Source organism: Homo sapiens, chromosome 9, assembly GCF_000001405.40.
Source record: "Homo sapiens chromosome 9, GRCh38.p14 Primary Assembly".
Classification (NCBI taxonomy): Eukaryota; Metazoa; Chordata; class Mammalia; order Primates; family Hominidae; genus Homo; species Homo sapiens.
The window spans coordinates 77,639,511-77,649,335 of NC_000009.12; the positions used below are offsets into that span (position 1 = coordinate 77,639,511).

The 9,825-nt window shown below is 47.6% G+C and overlaps 1 protein-coding gene across 1 annotated transcript in view; it reads right to left on the reverse strand.

Annotated features, from left to right (window-relative positions):
* GNA14 (G protein subunit alpha 14) overlaps window positions 1-8,812 on the reverse strand; it is a 225,244-nt gene extending 216,432 nt beyond the window's left edge. Inside the window, exon 1 of the mRNA NM_004297.4 lies at window positions 8,160-8,812. Within this exon, the coding sequence (NP_004288.1) occupies window positions 8,160-8,283 (124 nt within the window). The 5' untranslated portion in view covers window positions 8,284-8,812. The remainder of the gene's footprint in view (window positions 1-8,159) is intronic.
* Window positions 8,813-9,825: the final 1,013 nt, after the last annotated feature.

The following is a 9,825-nucleotide window of genomic DNA, read 5'->3' on the forward strand; positions in this document are numbered from 1 at the left end:
ACAACCTGGTAGATGAGCACAATCAGACAGATGGAGGTTTTGAAAAGTGACACCAGGGTGCAGAAGATGGTCACAGGTGATTTGCAGCTCTGCTGTGAATATAAGTGTCTAGCAGCAGCAGCAGCAGCGACTGGCAGGGTGGTGGAGTCCACTGACTGTGTCCTTGACAGTCTTGTCTGGTACTAGCATTTGCTATGTCCAGAGTCCCTTAAATCCTGCCCTTTTGCGGAGCCTCCTCTCCAATTTCCATTAATTCTATTTCCTGCTTCCACTCTAATAAATTATTACTCTGCTTACATGGTCAACAATCAAGAATCTTGGCCAGCATGGCTAATTTACCCATCAGCAGAGAGCCAATCTTCATAATGAATGTGAGGGCTCTTGCAGAGGCTTTTGTGGTCCCTTCCAACTTTAGAGCCCTTGGATTTCCGCTAGTATATTTTCTTCCTCTAACAGTAGTTGTAGCTGTGGCTACCTGGCTCACAGGGATCCCAGTCCCCGGCCATCTGCACTCAGGTGACAGTCATGTCCATGATACATGTCCCCTGGCCAGAACTGATTGATCCAGGAGTGCACCCTGATGCCACAACCTGGCTATAAAGGTCTGCAGAGAGGGCTCTCAAGCTTGGAAGGGGATGGGGTCAAGTCCTGTTGATGGCTGTGCCTTGAGTCCCCTAACCCAACTGCCCTGGCACTTGCTCTTTCTCATTTATTATTCAAATCCTCTTTGAATTCCATGAGATGCCCTGGTGACAGTCCTTCCGATAAATGATTGTCTCCTCTTTGAATTTCAACCATCTTTAGTATCATCATAGCTTTGCTCCAATAATTCACTGAAAATCCCTCTCTGACTTCCCAATATCATGAACTCCCTTCATATAGCCCTACACATGGGAGTTGTTACAGTGGTATTTTTCCCTTTGTGGTTTAAGTATCATGGGAAATGAGAAAGCAAAAGATGACAGACTAGAAGGCATCTTTTAAAAAGAAAAAGAAAAAAAGACCATTTGAAGATTAAGACTTTATTTGCATTGCTTTTTGCCAAACTCCACTGTCAGATTTTTCCACTTTATATCTGCCCACAGCTTAAGACTTATTAAAGCCTCAAAAATTTCATCCTCTAATGACATGACTTAGCACCTTGATTCTTTAGGTACTTGGATACTGTACTAGTAATTGATCTGAATTAGGGACTTGATATCTTTGTTTCAAGTGGCTTAAAGATTTTTTTTAAAAGATCCAGTTCTCCAATAAAAGGAAGCAGAGCCCCTCTGAGAAACAGCTGATTTCTTCCCCAGCTGGGGAAGAATTGGTACAAGACGAGCCTGGGGCATGTTATGCCAGAAAACAATAAAATGCTCAAAAAAAAAAAAAAAAAAAAACAACAGACAGAGGCATGTCACAGTGACACAGGAGCCAGCTTGAAGGGGATCTCATTGCACAAGTCGGGTATGATTTGAGCACCAAAATGATTAAGAACAGTAATGAAGTAAAAAATCATTGAGGGAAAAAAACCTAGGTATTCACGAATTTGCATGGGAAGGAAGGAAGGAGGGGAGGGGAGGGGAGGGGAGGGGAGGGGAGGGGGGGGAAGGAAGGAAGGAAGGAAGGAAGGAAGGAAGGAAGGAAGGAAGGAAGGAAGGAAGGAAGGAAGGAAGGAAGGAAGGGCAAAGGTAAGGCTGTTGCAGTAGAATGTCAAATGCCAACTGGTAAATGTGGAGAGTGCTGGAGTTGGAAAATCATTCTGCAGATACCATGTTATAGATTGGATCAACTGGAAACCATCAATGACTCCTAAATCTTGATAAGAAGCAGGGTATTTACTAGCCTTATAAAGTGTCTCTCCACAAAATTATGATACAGTGGATAAAACAGACAATATCTTAACCAGGCCATCAGAGTTATCACCACCACAGAGGAGCAGATGGACATGGTGTGCCTCCAGATGCCACCCCCGAGAAGGACACAACAGCACGTATCCAGTGTTCCAGCCAGAAAAGCACAGTGGGGATCGCTAATCGTAAGAAAATCACCAGTTAAATCCCAAATGAGAAACCGTCTGTTAAAAAAAAAGGGAGAGGGGACTGTATTTTTCAAAAATTCAGTGTCGTAGAAGCAATGACTTTGTGGAAAAGTTCCAGATTAAAGAAACTAAAAGGATATGAGAACCAAATGCAATCCCTGAGCCTCCTCTGGACCCTGTACTGGAGGTGGGGGAACACCACTAAGGACGTTATTGGGTGAACCAACAAAACTGGGATATGGATAATAGATTGGACACAAATATTGCATCAAAGTGAAATGTACAGACCTTTCATAAGTGTACTGCGCTTATGTAAGAGATTATCCCTATTTTTAGAAAAACACGCTTAAGAGTTTAGGGAAAAAAAGGCCACAATACATTTAACTTACCCTCAAACACTGCCAAGGGAAAAGGGCATACCTATGTTGTTTGTGCTATTCTTATTCTTGCAAATTCTTTGTAAATTTTAAATCGGTTCCAAATAAAAAGTAAACAAACAAAAAAAAAGATTTGGAGCAGGAGATTGACTGCAAAGGCACAGGGAACTTTCCAGGATGATGGAAGTGTTTATAGATTGTGATCATACATTTGTCAAAACTCAAAGTGTACACTTAAGCCTGGTGACTTACTGTATTCAATAAAGATGATTTGCAAAAGGTACAGAGGGTAAAAGTCCAGTATTTCAAAAGGTTCTGTATTCATTTAAGGGTAGACAGAAGAAGAGGTACGTGCATTTGCCTCTTGAAAGGCCTCAGGAACTGCTGTGTTATAGATGGAAGCAAACTATCTAGTGAGATTGGTTTGCTCCAGCCAGGATGAACAGAAGCCACAGACAAAACCACACAATCCTCCTTTCTGAAGCATATTATGGCAAAAAAGCAAGCATTTTTATTTTAATGTCTATTTTAGAGTGAACACAATACTCACATAACTGGTTAAAATAAAACACAGGCCAGGTACGGTGGCTCATGCATGTAATCCCAGCACTTTGGGAGGCTGAGGCAGGCAGATCACTTGAGGTCAGGAGTTTGAGACCAGCCTGGCCAACATGGTGAAACCCTGTCTCTACTAAAAAATATATGAAAATTAGCTGGGCGTGGTAGTGGATGCCTGTAATTCCAGCTACTTGTGAGGCTGAGGCAGGAGAATCACTTGAACCTGGGAGGCAGAGGTTGCAGTGAGCCATGATCGTGCCATTACACTCCAGCCTGAGCAACAGAGCATGACTCTGTCTCAAAAAACAAACAAACAAAAATAAAATCAAACACAAAACTCAATGAAATCTGGTCCCCAAGGGATCCTTCATATGATCCCAGATCCTAAGAACACCATTTACTGTCCTCAGAAATTTCCCTAGATGGTGAGGAGAGTTTGTGCATGTCTCACCCAAGCCCCCATGCGCAGACAATTGTTTGCATCTTACCCTCACCATAGTTCAAGGCCCACTCAGATGATGCCTCCTCCAGAGGCTCCCCCTTTACGCTCTGCCTGTTCTACCTCTTAATCTCTGTTAAGCTTTTATGACCATCTTCCTCATAACAGCTATTTGTGAACTGTCCTTCTCCAACTCAGCCCTTGGGAAGGAATCCCTGCACTGTGGCTGGCACCTTGGAAAAGGCTGTTGCATTGAACTAAGCTCAGATAAAGGAACGTGGGCATATTTACCATTTCATTCCTTTTCTTCTTCAGAGTGGGAAGGTGTTGTCATTTTTTTTTTTTTTTTGAGACAGAGTTTCACTCTTGTCACCCAGGCTGGAGTGCAATGGTGCTATCTCAGCTCACTGCAACCTCCACCTCCCAGGTTCAAGCGATTATCTTGCCTCAACCTCCTGAGAAGCTGGGATTACAAGCATGTGCCACCACACCCGGCTAATTTTGTATTTTTAGTAGAGACAGTGTTTCTCCATGTTTGTCAGGCTGGTCTTGAACTCCTGACCTCAGGTGATCCGCCCGCCTCAGCCTCCCAAAGTGCTGCGATTACATGGGTGAGCCACCGCACCCAATCGGTGTTGTCACTTTCTACCTTAAAACTCACACTATTTGCACCATTTTCTGGAATGGACTTCCTGCCCAGGAACATGATGGCTAATTCTGAAATGGGATTTTGTTATAACCAATCCAATAAAACTTTTTGGGACCAGATTTTCAACTTTTTGGTGTAAGCAGGAAGAGGAATTTTAAATCAGTTTATGGCTCAGAAAACACTAAGGGAAACTCAAAGTAAAACATTTCTGTTAAAGCACTACCACAACAGTTTATACAAACTTCTATGCAACCCACAGTTGGTCAACTAAAATGGAAAATGACACCTCTCTAGGGCCTGAAAATACTCAAAAAACAGAGTGATGATAGCTGATACTGAGCACTCACTGCCATCCAAAGCCCAGAGAATTTAGTCCACAGCTAAGACACTGTAGGGCTAGGGTTCAAACCCAGGCAGACTGGGCTAAGAATCTACATTTTTCATCTCTACACCAGTGTTTCTGGCTGAATTTAGTCCTCCCGCCAAAGTTTTTATGTTGAAATCCCAACCACTAGTACCTCAGAATGTAACTGTATTTGAAGATAATGTCTTTAAAGAGGTGATTAGGATAAAATGAGTGGGGCCCTAATAAAATAGGAACTGGTATCCTTATAAGAAGAGGAAGTGGCACGACACAGTGGCTCATGCCTGTAATCCCGACACTTTGGGAGGTTGAGGCAGAGGGATCGTTTGAGCCCAGCGATCATTTGAGACCAGCCTAGGCAACAAAAACCAAGAAAAATAAAAATAAGCCCAGCATGGTGGCTCACGCCTATAGTCCCAACTACTAGGGAGGCTGAGGTGGGAGGATGCTTGAGCCCAGGAGGTCAAGGCCGTAGGAAGCCGTGACTGTATTACTGAACTCCAACCTAAAGAGTGTCAAAAAAAAAAAAAAAAAAAAAAAAAAAGACACAGGAATGTGCATGCCCAGAAGAAAGGCCATGTGAGGCCACAGTGAGAAGGCAGCTGTCTGCAAGCCAAGGAGAGAGGCCTCCGGAAAAACCAAACCTGCCAAGCCAACACCTTGCTCTTGGACTTCCAGCTCCATAACTGTGAGAAAATTAATTTCCTTTGTTGAAGCCTCCCAGTCTGTGGTATTTTGTTATGGCAGCCCTAGCAAACTAATTCAGCCATATCTGTTAAATGCTCAATTCCTCTTCCTTCCAGAGAGCTCCAAGGTAAGGTCTGCATCCAGAATTAAAACACTCAACCCAATTAACAAGCCACACTTCACCAATCTGCATTTAACAGGAAAATCAATAAAACATCATTTTCCCTTATTTAATAGCTATTGTCCTGACACTTTCTCCCTATGCTGATCAGTACTCACCAATGTTCTTATCAGAACTTTTTTGTCCTACTTTTATGCAAGGAACTGATAAGAAATTTCTTTCTACTAAATTCAACCATCTCCTTTATTTTCTCCATCTCTTTCTGATGAGAAAGTGTCACACCAACATCTTGCAATTATTAGCCTTAACCAAACAACAGCTTTTATCTTTCCCTAGTAGACACTGACCTGTGCTTTTATTAAGCAGAAACAGGATACTGCACTTCAGAAACATCCTCACATCATTTTTTTGCAAAAGCATGCTTCATTGTGAAAGAGATGGTGTCTTTGGGGGTCATCCCATACTCCACAAAAGGATTCCAAACTCCCATTTGCAAAGTGAGGTTTTTAACTGAGGCACCTGAGCAGTGGATGCTCTAATCTACCCACTAGAGAGATGGGTGAATTTTTCACTCGAATTGCATGACTTCAGACAAAATGGTGCACATCCTCCCCTAATTCCTGTCACTTCTGAGTCATTGGCTCTTCCTTGAGAAGAAATGGAGCTATGCCCCAGGACTTTACAGATTGAAATAAATCAGAGGTTTTGAAGTCCATCCTTGGAGTTCTGAACGGCTCTGTGTGGTTTAGAAACTATTTTTCACAGGAAAGTTTTCACTAAGGGGATATGCTAGTCACAACTCCGCAAGATGAAAATGGGAGTTTCCAGAGGTCAGACAGTGCCTCAAGGTGGTAGGAGGAGGGTTGGAGCAATGGCCTGGGAAGATAAAGAAGACCCTCGGGTCACCCTGATTAATGTGACTTTCAGAGCAAACAATTTACCTACAAACATTTCTCCCCTAGTTTGTGGGTAAATGCGAGAATTTTACATCAAACAGGCTTATTACCAATACAGTACAGCTCAGCTGACTACACAATTTTTCATACAAAGAGCCAGCATTTGTCAAGCTCCTGGTATATTCTGGACACTGTACTTCATACATTGACACAAATCAAAGCATTGCAAAATGAAATAGGGTTCAGCCTGCCCTTATAAAGAAAAAAGTTACATACGCAACTAAACCCCTCTGGTTTGTGGGGTTCAGGGCAAAAGTACAAAGCCCCGCACCCATAGTTATTTTCTAGTGTTAATCAAGCTAGCAAATTCTCACGTATTCCTCCTCCCTTGACAAAGGTAGCTTTATAACAGCCTAGAAGGCCAGGGACAATTTAGAATTTTCAGACTTTTCAAAGTTATGGGTCAGACACAGAAATAGCAGACCTGGCCAATGAACAGAGCCCCTTCCCTTCCCCACCCAAGCTCCCTCTCTCCTAGGGGGGCCTCTTGGGCACCCACGGGGACTCCCTCCACTCCTACCCAGCCCACATTTCCAAGCACTTTTACGCCCCAGCAAACAGCTGCCCCTTTGTGAGCTCTCCAGGGATCAGGTCTGCCTTCTTTTCTAGGGCTCAGGCCTTAGAAGCTGGTATGGGTCCCTTTGGGCTGGGTATTCATTCCATCCAGGTCTTGGGAGGGAGGGGGCAGCATGGTCTCTGGGTAGCAAGCCCCTTTGGACCTACAGACTTCCAGCTCTGTGGGGAGGGGCACACCCCCCCCCAACCCCCAGAAGGCCAGACTGGGCCCTTTAAACCCAGGGGATAAGGATAAGGGGGTTCTTCCGCCCAGGTCTGAAGGCCATACTGGCTGAGAGCCTTCTCTATATTACACTAACTAGATCAACTTTTTCTTTCCTTGAAGCTTTCTGGGAGGGTGATTCCTATACAAGGAATAAAGATGAATAAATAGATGGTATAAGAGAAGATTCCTGTTCAAAAGGGGTGAAAGAAAAAAAGTTGAAATCTTTGTGGCTATCTAGAAAAAAATTGACAGCTGATATCATGGTCTGAAAGGTAGAAAAGGTAAAATATTCCTCAAACAGCAAATGTGTTGACAGCGTTCTAGAAAGTCTGAGATGGGATCCTTGCCTCATGGCATAACTTGGGCAAACCTTAAACTGTGTTCTTTCTGTGTTTGAAAGTGGATGTCCTACCCAGACCTTTGCAGAGACACCAAAAGAGCTGGATGAAGACCTGCCAGAGGCACCAGGGCAGCCAAGCTGAATCCTAGGACGTGGACACACTGAGTCAAGCTGGGCAAGGGAGGTTTGGGTCCGCTGCAAACACAAAGGCCTGAGGGACCCCCATGGGAGGCAGGCATAGGAGCTCACGGTCAGAGGAGCAGCAACGGCATGGGCTTCACCCCCACAGCTGACCTAGCATCGGCTTTGCCTTTTCTCAATCAGGGCAAGTTGGTCAGTTCTCCAGGCCTCCATGTTTTAATTCTCTAGAATAGCGATATCACCTGCCCGCATCACCAGGTGGTGATGCCCTTAAGAACTTAGCACGATCTGGCACATGGTAAATTCTCAAGATGCTTCATCTAGAACTGAAAGCGTACGGGTCAGAGCTAGCGCTGAACCCAAGATGTGGGTCACCACAGACCCCAAGCTGGGTGTGCTGCGGGCGGAGGAGTGGACGGGGTTTTGAGGAGAGGGGCACACCGGAACACATAAGGTACAGCGGTCAAGAGGTTAAGTGTTACAGGTCCCTATCCTGTTTTGGGGCAGGGGAAGGTGTTGCTTTTGCAAGTCGCCCAGCCAGAGATGGAAAGAACAGGCACCTAAGGCCCCAAGTTGCTGGCATCCGTGAGCTCCGAGGGGGAGAAGGACGAAGCCGCCCTGCACCCCGCTGGGCTCCAGGGCCGCGCGGGTGCCAGTGGAGAGGCCGGGAGGGCTCGGAAGAAAAACGCCCGGCTCACTGGAGTCGGAGACGCAGCCACTCACCCAGCAGCAGCAGCTTAAGCTCACGGCGCGCGTCCTTCTTGTCCCGACGAAGCTGTCGCTCGATCTCCGCGCTGATGCGCTGCGACTCCTTCTCCTCCGCGGACAGGCAGCAGCAGCCGGCCATGGTGCGCTCAGCTCAGTACCCGACGGGGCGACGCGGCCCCGGGCACCCGAATCCTCGGCCCGGCCGCTCACCCGGCCAGCATGCGACGGGCACAGGGGTGTGGAAAGAAAAGACGGGGGCCGACTTGAGCTTTGGAGTAAGACGCCTGGACCTCCGAGGCTCAATCCCCCTTCGAAAGTCGGCTCTGAGGCGGGGTGAATGCCGAGCGCTGGGAACGCTCGAGTGCACCCCGGATCCGGGCTCAGCCCGCCCCACTCTCGCTCTGGGGAGGAGGAGGGCGAGTCGAGAAGTTGGGAGCGTTGCTGGCCCCGGGAAGATGCGCGCGCCCCTTGGCACAGGAGCCGGACAGCAGTCGGGGGCGCAGACGAGTTGGAACGTCGGTGCTCGGGGGAGAGTAGGATCTCCTGGGCCTAGGGGTGTCCCCAGGCGGGAGGTAGGCGCGGAGTGGGTTGGAGGCAAAGGACCTGGCTGGCCTTTGCCTGGAAAGTTCTGAAAACCTCAGCAGTGACCGCAGACTAAGACTGAGTGGAAAGGTTCCCGCTAGCGTTTGTGGCTCTAAGTGGCAGGAGGAGGCGGAGCATCTTGAACCTGCAGCCCTGGCGTCTGCTGGACTTGCCCTTCTGGGCACCCCAAGCCGAAGGCGCCTGGAAGTGAAAGGGGACGAGCAGGGGGCGCGGAGCTGGGGGTGGGAGCTGGCACCTCTAGGAGCAGCTCCCACACTTGCCTCCCTGGCTGGGGCGTCCCGGCCAAGGTTTGCTGTAATCTGCGCGTCTGGCCGCCAGGCACCGGGTTCCGACAGGTGAGTGAGTTTCGCCAACTCACTCGCTCGGAGAAGGCGGCAGCAGGCTGGAAGAGGAGCGGCGCCAAGCGTCTGTTGCGGGACACAAAGCCCCGGACCTGAAGTGGAAGCTTGCCCACCAGCTTCACCACCACGCACACCCGGATTTCCTAGACTGGCTCCTTCCGCTTCCCGGACGCCCCGGCCCAGCTCGGGCTTGGCCAAAGCCCTTGGTCAGCTCGGCAATTTGCCTGTAAAGTGTGGCTGGGCCTGAGCCTGCTGGCTCTGAGCTCGGAGAAGGAGCCGCCGCTGGGTTCAGTTATAAGAGAACTGCAAGAGCCCAGGGTAAATATCCTCTCGGTCTCCGGACGAGGGGGCTGGGGAGAAAGGGAACGGCTGATTGCTTTGCATTTTATGATGGGAAAGACACCTGCTTTGTAGAAAGGGCTGATACGTTCCTAGTAGCACCTGGCAAGTTTCCTGCCCAGCCCTGAAGCCTAACAGCCGCCTTGCGATTGTGTCCGCACTGACACCTTGGCCTGTATCCTGGACCGTCGGGGTCAAGTTTGAGCAGCATTAATAAAAACTTTAAAAGCACCTCTTAGTACTTAAGTGACACGATAAAATGCATATTACAACATCTGACTTTTGTCTGTGTAGATTTTGATGCAGAAAAGGGAAGGTGGGGAGAGGGGATCCTATTGGCCACAGCAATGAACGTTCTTTCCTTCTCAAGTCAGTATAGGCCATATGCTAATGGGGCG